General features: G+C 49.2%; 1 protein-coding gene across 3 annotated transcripts in view; it reads left to right on the top strand.

Annotated features, from left to right (window-relative positions):
* The window catches only part of ANO2 (anoctamin 2), a 383,578-nt gene that overhangs the window by 311,484 nt on the left and 58,683 nt on the right, over nucleotides 1-13,411 (top strand). The window lies entirely within an intron of this gene.

Below are 13,411 nucleotides of genomic sequence, written 5' to 3'. Positions count from 1 at the left end.
TGACACTTGAGCCCAAGAGGGTCTTACTGGTCTTATCTATCCCCGTATTGTCAGAGGCCCCAGAAAATCCACACATTCCCCAGGCACTGAGTAGACTTCAAAGAGGCATATCAGACTTCCCACGCTTCAAGCCAGTGAGAAAAATGCAACGGCCTCAATATTCAGGTGTGTCATTTGAGCTGCAAGTCGCTGTTGCCCGAGCACCACATCTTGGCATTTGGCATTCATGCTTATTGGGTGGGGGAGGCTGACAGTCAAGACCCTGTCCCATTGTATTTACTCTGGGTGGCCTGGATTCATCCCTTCCCTCTCTGAATGTAGGGATTTCCCTCTCTGACCCTAGTAACGAGGAGCCCCAGCTTCTTGTTAACCTCATACGGAGGTTGCATTCATAGTACGTATGATGCCTTTAATTCATGGACCCTTGATAGGATAACCACCTCCTCAAGAGCCTTCTCCTAATGACTGGAGAATTCCGGAAAGTTGCTCTGTCTGTGCCTTTCCCTTGCTTGGCCTCTACTGTAACACTACCCACGGTGAGCACTTTGCTTTGACTTCTGTGTTGCTATCGGCAGCTTACCATCCTCAGGGGCAGCTCTGCTCTTTCCAGGCATGTGCATATTTGTGAACGTTATCTGTGTTTCTTCATAAGCATCTTGAGAAAAATAAGCAGAGAATTTTAATTCAGCATATTTAATGACAGACAGGATTCTATGGAAGCACTTCGGAAGAACATCCAACACTCCTGGGGACTCAGGAGGCTTTGGAGGGAGAGGCGTTTGACTGGAGAGCCCAGAGATAAGTGAGAGTCAGACAGGCATGCATATAGGGAGGAGGGGATGGGCAGGAGGAGAGGAAGATTCCTGGCAAAGGAAACCAAGTGAGAAACACGGCACTGAAGGGAGTGATCAGATCCCTGGGGTCAGGAAAGGCATGCAGGAAAGTGGCAAATGAGCCACTTGGGTGGTTGGGAGAGTCTTGGTCAAGCTAAACACCAGTGGAACAGGAGCTGAGCTCAGCGTACGGGAGAAAGAAAGCATGAAGTGTACGCAGGATGCCAGGGGAGCCCGGTGCCGGGGCTCTACGTCCAGGGCACATCCAGGGCACGATGGAGTGGGAAACTGTGCTGACGGAGTTGACCAGAACGTGTTTTTTTTTTTGTTTTGTTTTGCTTTTTGATGGAAAATCTAAAATGCCAGGCTGAGGACTCCGATTTTTTTCATAGACAATGGAAAAGTGTTTGCTGGAGTTCCCAGGGGCATTCAGCCATAAACAGTACCATCTTCCTGGCCTGATTACTGAACCAGCTGAGAAATTAGATCAAGGCAAGAGTGGACAAAGCCAAAATATCAGCTGTAAAACTGAGAGCGGCTACATGGGAGGTAGTAGCTTAGGAAGAGAGCCAAACAGACATTCTCTCTCCATGGCAGGCAGTGGCGGATGGGCCAGCCCTGTGAACTTAGAACTTGGAGAGGCATAGAAGAACACCTGCTTCCTGCAGGCCCTTTGCTCCCCTCCAAGGAAGGGCAGAAAAAGAGGCTAGGCAAGGAATGCCAGCGTCCTCTTCTAGACTTAACAATAAGATAAGCTACTCCTCCTTCTCTCACCCAAGAGGAGAAATGGTTGAGCTGGGGGAAGACAAGCTGAGCCATTACAACTAATTACACTCCCACCGCATGGAGGAAACACCAGGAGTAGAAATAAATGTCCCCTACCCGCTCCATGTGGTCCTGATCTAGCACCACTGAAGATTTTTTTTAAGAGCGTGGCATGACGGGAGCTGTCTGCAAAATTACTTAGCAGGGAAATAGGATGTGACAGAATAGGGAGAGGTAGGAGATCCAATGTAAAGGGTATTGCTGAGTGTGCGGGCAGGAAGTAGGGAAAAGAGGGACAGAAAGTCAATGGTGATGTAGACCTTTCTCCTTCCTGTTCATTTGTGTCACATTATCTCACTTTTCTTGCATTGCTCTAGATAGTGATAAAGATGAAAGACAAATAGAGTTGGCAACAATAGAAAACTCATTAATAAGTATTTAGTGAGTACTTCCCATATGCAAGGCGGGGCCTTAACTCTTCTGTTTGAAGCCATAAATAAAATGGGCTGTAACAGAGCTTTCACATCATGAAGCTATGTTCACTGTTTCTACTGGCACACCCTCCTTGCCCAGACCAAAGCGGCTACCCTGGGCTGTTAGATCAATGTCCAGGACTCCATAAGAAAGTCTGTGCCCTGGAAAGGAGATAAAATCCTAACAAGCACATTTTGTTCTCTCTGAGAGTGATACTCATAAAGTATTTTTAAACTTAAAATAAAATTTGTAACTCCATTTCATCTTCACAAAAACTGCATGGCCAGCAAGGGCAGTGTTATACGCTCACTTTACTAAGGTTCAGACTCAGATTCTACCTCTAAAATGTGAATCTCTTTTGTGTGACTTTGATGTCAGTTTCTCACCATCTGTACTGAAGTGGTGTGTTGGGTCTCCATCAGGAACCCCAGTGAGCATTGTTCTGGGGCATTGCTCTTGTCTACCTTATACTGGGTACTCCAGAGAGCTCAGAGAGGGACTGCTGAATTTGAGAATCCAGTGGAAAGAAGCTTTGAGCTCTAGACTTGGCTCCTTCTGCTCCCTGAGCTGTGTGGCAGTGGGTATCGGGGAAGTTTTTTGGACAAAGATTTCCTGATCCTTCCTTCTTCATATTCCTCCTGTCCTCTGGTCATCCCCTCTGTCTGGATGGTTTTCACAGCCTAACGCCTGTGCCATTGTCCTCAGCCTCTTTCAATGGGCCTCTAGCTTGGAAATCCCCATCCAGCCAACCTTTCCCGAACAGTGGGTTTGGGGACATTGCTCCCAGTCAGCACCCTCAGACAGCTTCCCTTGGTCCTAGAGCACCTATAGTTAGCATTTCAAGCTCTCAGCTACTTTCTTCCCACTGTGCTCCTCCACCCCAACTGACCCACTCAGCTCATGGTCACCCTAGCCTCCCTGTGTTGTCCCACCCCGGCCTTGCTCATGCTGCTGTGACTGCCAAAACGACCTCAGTGACCCTCCTTCAAAGGGCTTCTCCTTTGTAAATCCTCTTCTGGCCTCTCGGCTGTCAGTGGTCATCCTCCCACTTCCAGACTCCCCTGGCACACACCCTCTGTTTCTGGGTTCATCCATCAGCTGTTGATGGAGTGCTTGCTCCGTGCCAGGCACAGTTCTGGAAACACAGCAAAGACAAGCGACAAGGTCCCTGCTCTCATTTTGCTTTCACTGTGACCAGGGAAAGATGGACAGCAAGCAGGGCCATTCCACAGAATCTGAGGAAGGTGTGATGAGATAGACAGTGGTCTGGGGCTGTGCACTCTGGGGGAGTTGGTCAGGAAAGGTATTTCAAGGTGGTAGCTTTATAGCTGAGACCCAGATGGCAGGAGGGAGCAACCCACAAAAAGATCTAGAAGGAGAACTTTTAGGAAGATGGAACAGTAAAGGCAAAGCCTGCAGACCAAGGCTAAGCTTGGAGACTCTTATCCACACTATTCATTGGATGCTGATCAGGTACTGTCTGATCTTACCGCATCACACATATATGTGTGTTCCCAGTGTTAGAATAGACTAGGCTCTGCTGGGGTAATAAATTCATCTCAATATCTTGGTTGCATCACATAAAGTCATCTGTGTTCTTGCTCAGCCCACATATCTAGTGCGATCAGGCAGGGGTCTCTGCTGCACACAATTGCTCAGGGACCCAGACTGATGGGGGCTGCCGTGGACACCATGTCAGGGGAAGACAGCTGGAGAGTTGACTGGGGCTGTTAAATGCTTCAGCCTCCAAGTGTCATCATTCATCCCATCTGCTCACAGATCACTGGCTAGAATCGGCCTAATTATGAAGAACTTGGAAAATTTGTTAAAGTACATGGTCATTCTGTAAGCAGGAAAAGTCTCTGTCACTTGCTCCCAACCAGGCTGCAAGGCTCTTGAGAACAGTGACCCTGTCTTTCATTTATTTTTATTTCCTGCGCAGTGCCTGGCCCATGGCAGATCTTAGCACATTTTTGTCAATGCAGTTATTGGTGAAATACGTCTCTCTCTTCATTCATGCATGTAAAAAGACATTTTTCAAGGAATGCCCATAGGCTAGGTATCTTTTAAGTCACAGTAGAGGCTACAGTGAGCATTTATGTATTCCTTATTTCAACTCTGTCTGCCTACAGAAGGATGTGATCTTATTGAGATGAATAAGGCCAAGGCAAAGCTGACACAATGGGATAGTGACTGAAAGAGGCACCAAGAGTATCAGGAGACTTGAAGTTTCCTTAATGGCAAAGAATACCCACACTAACAGAGATGGTCTCACAAAGTAGGTCCCAGCAGTATCCCCACAGGCAGAGATACGGTTACAGGGTTCCCCCAGGCTCCATGGGGACATAAAGCTATGGATAATGCCACCTAATGGAATGAGAAGTCTGCCAGGCTTAAGACTTCGTTTGCCATTCTCACGCTGGGTTTAACACCCGCTTGGCTTCCTGCCCCAGATCTCTTGATAGTTGAGGAGGCTGTGAGTATACGCTTTGCTCACCAGGTGCAAACAGCTGGTGTCAATAACCCCAGTAAGTCCCCAAGTGTTTCCCACAGGGCTGAGTAATGGAAGACCAGTTTCCTGGGAGCATCCCTCAAGAGGCTGAGGTGTCAGGCCTATCTGAGGTCCATTCTTGCTGCAAATATGTATCACAGAAGGCAAGATTTGTTAATTTCCTTGAGAATGATATCTACCGCTAGCAGCAGTGGCGGATAAAAACAGTGATTGTCCTCCTGGCTGCCATAACAATACTCAGGAGCGTAGATGCAAGGCATGCTGGAATCTGGAGGCAACGCAGCACTGGTGAGGCAGGACTGAGCTGAACCCTGGGGTGGTGGGAAGGGGGCTTTCTAGGGAATGCATTTGGAGCTGTGTCCTAGAGGGAGCCTGGCTGGCCAAGACACAGTGTACAGAGTGTGTTGCCAGTGTCAGCAAGCATCAGTATTGGAGTTTGAGTGCTGCGGGGGTAGGATTCCAGTGGATGGGTGGGACAAAGTCTCTTAGTCCCCAGTGATCCATTCACTCCAGGAGGGGATACAGGTGGTGGCTGTAGAGAAAGGGTCCGGGTCCTAGGGGAGGAAGCAGGCAAAATCTGGGCAGGTCACTGGGCCTCTGGACATACAGCAAATAGGGCTGCAGCATGGTAGGAGGATAAGGCAGGAGGCAAGAAGAAAGAGCAATGGAGCTGACTGGTGCAAGGTGTGCTTCCTCCTCAGGTCAGGACCCAGTGGGGTATTGTGCCTTTGAGCCATACATCTGGGAGCAGGAAAACTATAGGATCTTAGCATAACCAACATAGGCAATGGTCAGGCTTGGCCTGGAAAGGCGGCCTGTCTCTACTCTAGCTTTGGAGAATTCTTCAAATAAGAGGCAGTATGGAGGAGGCACAGCTGATGGCAGGCTTCTAGGCTGAATACTCAAAATGCTGTTGGCTTGCTGCCTCCTTTTCCTTCTTGTCTTTTCTTTCAAAACTCTTTGCAGAATGCTGGCTGGTGTACGGGGTGGTGCACTTCATCCCTCCCTCGCCGTCCAACCTCTCCAAGTCACAGGGTTGGGTTCATTGTAGTTGCTTGAAAAAAGAGTATTAGTCAAGTCAAGGTTTTTAGGAAAATGGCTGTGCTTGGGAGGTGCTTAGACATTACTGACAGCCCACTCCTGAGTGTCACTGCCCCAGATGCTCCTGAAGCGGGGCCAGGGATGAGAGTGAAAGGAGGGATGGGGAAAGGCCGTGAGTTCCATTGAGGGCCCACCTCATACCAACACTGGTTTGCATACTTTGCCCCACATTATGACAGTAACACTGGGAATGGGTCATTTCTTTCATTTTACTTATGAGAAGGCTGAAGAGGTTTAGAAACTTGACCGAAGCATACAGTTAGTAGTGTGCATGAGTGTGCATTGATGCACACCCTGCTTACCCTATATCTCACACACATGCACACACTTGTACACATGCATGCATGCACATGTGCACGCACGCGTGCGCGCGCGCACACACACACACACACACACTCTCTGCTTACCCTGTACCAAACACTGTTCTAAGCACTTTACATATATCAGTATGTTTAATCCTTAAAACAGCCCCAGGAGGGTAGGTAATCTTAATACTCCCATTTAGAGACAGGAAGACTGAAGACACAGAGAAGAAGATCAGAGGCCCAAGGTCATGGAACTGATAAGTGGTGAGTCTGACCTCATTGTCCTTGCTAAAACCATGACACTCTAGTGCCTTTTAATATGTAGCTGTCCTTGTTCCCCAGAAAAGTTTAAATTTATTGGGAGAGCAACAGGAAACACCACAAAGGTTCCAGAAGATTTAGAATGCAGTGCACTCACATATGTGAATGACAAGAGGTCGAGTATTTCTGGGGATGGGGACAACCGTGTGGGTCAGATGACCCAGGCAGGGAGGACAGCAGGGAGGCAAGCTGTGAGTGCAGCCGCCTGTCCCACATGCACAGAGAGAGAGGAGCTCCACAGGCTTTGGGGTCCTGCGAGCTTTATAAGTTTTAACAAAGAAAGAATTTTTTTTTAAATTTGAAAGGCCACCAGGAATCTCTCTCTCTTTTTTCAAAAATAGACAGGGTCTCACTCTGTTGCCCCGACTGGGGTGCAGCGGCATGGTCATAACTCACAACAGCCTTGAGCTCATGAGCTCAAGGGATCCTCCCACCTCAGCCTCCTGAGTAGCTGGGACTACTGGTGTGTGCCACAGCATCTGGCTAATTTTTTTTTTTTAACTTTTTGTAGAGAAGGGGATCTCATTTTGTTTCCCAGGCTGGTCTTGAACTCCTGGGCTCAAGTGATTCTCCTGCCTCAGCCTCTCCAAATGCTGGGACTACTGGTGTGAGCCAGCGTGCCTGGCCCCTACCAGGAAGTCTTGAGTCTAAACTTTTCCTCCAATTCTAAGCTACTCTAGCAAAAGGCAATATATTATTACTGAGGAGAGAAGAGCAGGAGGAAAGGAAAAGGATGGGGGAAAAATCAGTGTCACAGGTACAAATGGCTGCCGGGGCACCAAACATTCTTTAAAGAAGAATATTTTGAGCATATATGAATCTAATCTTCTAAATGTGGACAGTGTTTGTTTTTGGAGCATGGGGTGAAAGTGTTGGCTTTATTGGATGCAGTGCTCTGGGATGGGGGGTCTGCTCTCTGCAGCGGAGCCTGATCAGGGACAGAGTCCAGCACAGGACATGGGTGGGCCTGGCCGGCGTGGGCTGCAGAGGGGAATGGGGCCTATGCCTCTCTGCGGGGACGCCACAGTGCTGGTCATTTGCAATCTGGCCTGAAAGTTGGGTCTGCTGGCTTGTATTCTCTTCCTGCTTTGCACCAGGATCCTGGCTCTCTGGGGCTCCCGGCTCTCTGGGTGGCCTCAGGCAGTGGGGGAGAAAGAACCTCCCAGGGTCTGGCCAGGGGGGATTCTATGCTTGTTGGGGGACCCCCTCCATGATGTTGGCTTAAATTATTCTAAATGTTGTCTGGGAAACAGAGAGGATGGCAGGAGGCTGTGACTACTAATAAAACGATGTGAGTACGGTTATAGGCCAAGTATGTGGAGCACCCCTACCAGTTATGTAAGACTATGGTCAGTAATTCTACTGTTTAGAACACAGTGTAACTGGTAAGAATTCCTTCCCAGACATGAGCTGTGACCATGAACACATCTCTCATTTCCCTGCAAAGTCCTTGCAGCACTCATCTCTTCTGTTAGCAAGAAGTCCAATATCTTCCTGTCTTTCTCTTTGGATTTTCTAGGAGCCCAGGGACTAAAGCATCCAGAAGAGAAGGAAGGGCTGTGGTGCTCCTCCTTTGTTTGCACCTTTTCTCCCTCACTAGGGAATTGGGGTGTTTTCCTCTGCTTCTCCCTGATGCTCCCACATCTCTGGAGAAAATTCATCTCTTCATAACTGCAGCTCTTGCAGGATGAATTCTCCCTCTTGGTTCTTCCTGGGCATCAGCCATGCCATTTCCTCTCCTTGTCTCTTCACTGCTGTGAGTAAGGGCTTCATTAGAGTCGCTTCCTTTGAACCATCCAAGGGGAATTGTTTCCTGCTGCAATCCTCAGTGGTAGAGGGGTCAGGCCAACATCCGAAGTTAAACATGGAGATGCCTGGGTAGAACCTGCCCTTCGCTCCTTGGGTCTCACTCCTATGGAACATTGCTGCTGGACACTAGCCCCACCCCTCTGATGGGAGAGGCTGGACTGCGGCTGAGGTGGCCCCTCCGTACTCCAGGCCTGGACAGCATGGGCTCTTCCAGGGAGGACAGTCTTCTCCTTTAGGCTGGGCTCAGTCTAGGGGCTGCAGCTGTCAGGGTTTCCTGTTTCTAGGACACATATGTTACCTCCACCCGCATCTCCAGGATGCCATCCGACACCCTGACCCATAGCAAGGGCCCCTGCTCTCCCTGGGAACTCACCCTGGGAGCACACAGCTTGCCACCTTCAATCTTCAAAACGCAACAGATCCTGTGATTGCCTATTTCACCTCCCTGGCCCTCAGCGAGATTCCTAGGGACCTCACCACCCCAAGTGATGCCAAAATGCACTCCCCAACCTTCTAAGAGAGCTCTGTAGGGGATTTTTAGCTAACTTGCTAACACTTCTTTTACTAAGGAAGTGGAAACAAATGTGCAAATCTCTGCAGTGCCTTGCTGTGCCATCAAAATAAGAGCAAATCTTTGAGCCCTTACACCATGCTTGATGCTTTCCATGCTTTATTTCCCAACAAATGTTGAAGGAAGGTACCATTTTATGAATTAGGACACTGAGGCTCAGAAAGATAAATTCCCTTATCTGGGGACTCTTAGACAGAAAGGTCTTCTGACTTCCAGCCCAGAGTCCCCCTCTAGTCTTCCGTCAAAGCCTCGTGAATCATATTGTAGAGCACAGAAGACCAGAAGCAGGAAGAACCTGGGAAATCACCCAGTCCAACCTTGACGTTGAGGCTTGGATTTGCTTGAGGTGCTGACTCCTCCAGGCTGGCTGGCTACTTCGAAGGATGATTCTCGGTTCAAACAATATTCTAATGGCCTTGGGTCATGAGCTGGGGTTTGGGGGTTTTGGGTTTTGGGGAGCAGAATCACAGGGGCCAAGGAGAAGCATAGGGGCCAAGAATTTAATGTGTCCAACTTTGAGAACTTAATTTTTCCTCCAAACCTGGTGCCTTTCACCGATTCTTCCCATCTCAGGAGATGGCACCAGCAGCCACCCAAATGCTCACTTCAAAGTCCAAGTGCTATCCTGGCTCTCTCTTTCTCTCTCTCCCTGGCACTCTCACTCCCTGGAGCTCTCTCTCTCTCTCTCTCACCCCTAGGATCCAGTCTGCTGGTAAGTATTGTTCTTTCTACCTTCAAACATATCCCAGATCTGACCATTTTTCACAAGTTTCATCCTCATATTGACTGGTTTGTGCCTGGACAACAACACACTCACAATTTGTCTGTCTGCTTCCACTTCTGTCTCTGTGCCGCACTCCCCCCCACACCATTCACTTTCTGTGATTTTTTAAAAATTTAATTTTGTCACATCCTTCCCCTGTTCAGAAATCTACAACAGCTTCCCGTTGTACTTCCTGTGGCTCACAGAGCCACACATTTACTCTCCGGCCTTCCTCTCCAATTCCCCCTCCCAGTACTTCCACCAGGCTCAGGATGCTTCGCTTGTGTGGACTGGCCAGTTCCTTGCACAGCCTTGGGGCTCTCCATCAAGACTTTGCCCAGGCTGATGCGTCCCCCTAGAGCTCTCCCCAGCCCCTGGGGCTGGTTCCTCCTTACCCTGCAGGTCTCAGCTTAGAGGTCACCTCCTCAGAGGCCTTTCCTGACCACTCTGACCAAAACAGCCTTCCCATCGCCCTTTCCTTCTGCTTCTCATTTCACTACATATTCCTTCAACACTCACCGCTCTCTAAATCTAAAACGGTTGCAGTTGTCGCCCTCACCCTTCTAGACTGGGAGCTCCACACGGCGGGAGCTGATTGGATTGTCCACCACTGCACAGCTGGGGCCCAACACCAGGCACATGATCATCCTCAGTAGATATTTGTCGAATGAGAAAAGATAATGGTGGGAAAGGCAGGAGAATTTCCTGTGGGTTGTTTTCCTCTGGGAAGACATGAGGGGTGGGCTGAGAATGGACTGACCGTATGCCTCCTCCCTCAGGTTTTAGACCAGTGTGTGCATTTGCCAGATGACCCAGGGGTGTTGGGGGTGTCTGTGATCAGGGACAGGGCACACCTTCCTGCTCTCTCCTCACTCCTGTCCTTGTCACAGGGAGAAAAATCTTAGGGAAGTTGTCAAGTGCTTGTATGGTGCTTGGCACATAGTAGGTGCTGGATATAGGAGGATTCTCATGATTGGCCTATAACAGAATACGCCTCTGTCTGTCTGTCTCTCTGTCTGTCTGTCTGTCTGTTTCTCTCTCTCTCTCTCTCTCCAGTGCTCCCTTCCTGTTTAGGTCCCTTTTTTCTTAAAAGGAGATGTGCTGGGGGTGCTGTCACCCTGGCCTAGGCTGCTAGCCAGCTCAGTAGGTCTCATGCTCCTTTGCATAGGGGCAAGAGTTACCTTTCTGACTCTGAGGGATAGGCCCCCTGTGCTAGGAAGCTCTCTGGGCCACAGGAGTATCTCAGGCACACCCTCTAGATCCCCAGTTCAGGGGCTTTCAGCTCCCTCAGGTCATGCGCTGGCTGCCTTGTTACCCAGCTGGCTGGCTTCTCCTAGGGTGATTTCCACCCTACCCATGGCACTACCAGGGCAACAGCATGACACCAGGTACCCAGACAGTCCCTCCACCCACCCCCCATTCCCAAATGAAGGGCAGCCCAGTTGGTTGTGCTGTCAGCAAACATTGCTGTTTGCAAAGGCATGACCTGCCTTAGGGAGAGGTAAGGGGAAGAGCAGGCACTTTTGCTTGGGCATCTTCTTGTTCTTTTTTGCTGCCATCGTTATGCATTTGCCAGCTGGGCTGTCGAAGACACCAGTCAGGAGGAGCTGCTTTTCCAAGATTCAGAGCCTGCAGCTGGCGTCCTCTCCTGGCCATGCTGTTTCCATAGGATTAAGATGGAGCTCTGGGGACTTTCAGTCCTGAGCTGGCCCCCTGGGATGAAGCTGGGCTTTCATACTAATTGTTTTCCAAGGCAGTTTACAGCTGGGTCATTTGCACTCATATTTTTTCATGACACGATGCAGCAGAGGATTAACACGTAAAAGAAAAGGGCTGATGGTGGGAATGGCTCTGCACAGAAATTCCCGATTGTCCTTTCTGGCGGGAAGTGGAGTCTGCCCTCTTTGTTGGGATCCTGCTCCACAGTTTGGAAGCAGGTGAAACTTTCAGATGGCCTCTAATCAACCTGGGGTGCTTCCCGGCGGAGGTGCTATGTTAGGGGGCACGTGAATAATAGAGAGGGTTGCCTATCTCCTCACCCTCTCTCCATTAGATTCCCCTCCATCGTATCCCCATAGCCATGCAATCTGAAGGTACTTTATTTGGAGTTGTTCAAAGCACAAGGCTGGACCATTTTTTCATGGGGTTGAGATTCAGACCCCTCCAGAAGTCTGTCTTATGAGGAATCCTGCCTAGTGGCCTGAGATGCAGACAGCCCTTCCTGAACCTCAGATGTCACCCCACCCCACCTGGCCTCTGGAAACACTTGCTCCATTCCATTTCTTCATTTCTTTCCTTCCTTTCTTTTCGTTTCTTTTTTTTTTTTTTTTTGAGACAGAGCCTTGCATCGTTGTCCAGGCTGGAGTGCGGTGGCACGATCTCAGCTCACTGCAACCTCTGCCTCCTGAGTTCAAGAGATTTTCACGCCTCAGCCTCCCGAGTAGCTGGGATTGTAGCTGCATACCACCACGCCCAGCTAATTTTTGTATTTGTAGTAGAGACAGAGTTTTGCCATGTTTGCCAGGCTGGTCTCAAACTCTTGGCCTCAAGTGATCTGCCCTCCTCAGCCTCCCAAAGTGCTGGGATGAGCCACTGCACCTGCCCACTTGCTCCATTTCTTCAGCCATGTAGTCTCTGTCCTAGGCAGGTGAGGCCCTCTGTGTTGGCTTGTGAGAGAGATCCAAAAGTCAAAGTGGCACTCCAGGCTGTGGCATCCCTCCTTGCCTCAAACCTTCATTTGTTCCCTCACTGGGAGGTGCTTCCCTGAGGCCCCTTTCCCAGAAGTCTCGGCCAAGCACACACTGTGACTCAGAGCTGCTCCAAGCTGGGGCACCGAGCTGATTTTGTGGCCTGTCACATGGATTTGGATCGTTTATTGGAAATGCTCCTTGTTTATGGTGGCTCATGGCCCTAAAGCACAGGCACAGGCTGTTTTTTAGAAGTAAAACTCATAAATAATAGCCAGGCCTATGATTTATCAGTATGGAGGAAGGGAATCACTCATTTCCAGTTGGAGGAAAGGCCTCTGAAATGACTAGATCCTCTTTGCAGGGAACTTGGAGGGAATTGCTGTAGGGACTGGGAGATCTGAGGACACACAGTTCAAAGGGGATGATAAAATAAAATTAAAGACATATGCCACTCCACATCTCATCCTGATCACCTTCTAGATATGTTTTCAAGATATGTTTTCCAAATTTTCGGACCCTCAGATCTGATTACTTATTTTTTTAGGTGACATGGGCTTAAATTTTCTTGCCCCCAAAATATTTAAGAGAGATGAGATGTGATTGTGTTGTTGTTAAATTGGATGCCTCAGGCACCCTGGACAGAGGCTCAAATTCCTATTGAAAAAAGGAAAAAGAAAAAGAAAAAACATCCTATTGAAAAGTTCTCCCTTTCTTCCTTCCCTTTCCTTTCATCCCTCCTCCCTCTTCCTCCTTCTTTTTCCCCCTTCCCTTCTCTTTCTTCTTCCTCTTCTCCTCCTCTGCCTTCCACGGTGTCTGCCTGTTTCCCTAATCTCTCTCGTTGGTTACCCAGATCAGTCTCTGCTCCTTCCCCATGCTCATCTGGAAGTAGAACCCAGTCCTTCAGCAGTCCCCCAAGAGTGAATCCAGAACAATTTCAAGGAATCATGATTGAAGATTCTGTGGAGAGGCACACGAAGAGGTCACACTGCAAACCTCACAGCAGCACTTAATGAAAATTCCCAGCGGGCCCTCCCCGCACCTGTCAGTCCATTTCCTCTCTGCCCTTCCCCTCCCATCGCACTGGCCCTCACCCTTCCGGGTCCTGCCTCCAACTCCAGCACCCCCGCCTCTTATGTTAGGTCGGTGAGTTTGAGTCTTCTGGCTGCTCCTGTCATATGGTTACACCTGTCATCTGCTCAGAAAAAGACGTCCCTCCTTAGAATTTGTCCTCCTTGGAATACGACAGGGAATTTTTAATATGGGACAA

The sequence above is a fragment of the Homo sapiens genome, chromosome 12 (assembly GCF_000001405.40).
Source record: "Homo sapiens chromosome 12, GRCh38.p14 Primary Assembly".
In the NCBI taxonomy this organism is placed as follows: domain Eukaryota; kingdom Metazoa; phylum Chordata; class Mammalia; order Primates; family Hominidae; genus Homo; species Homo sapiens.
This window is presented reverse-complemented; position numbering and strand designations above follow the sequence as displayed.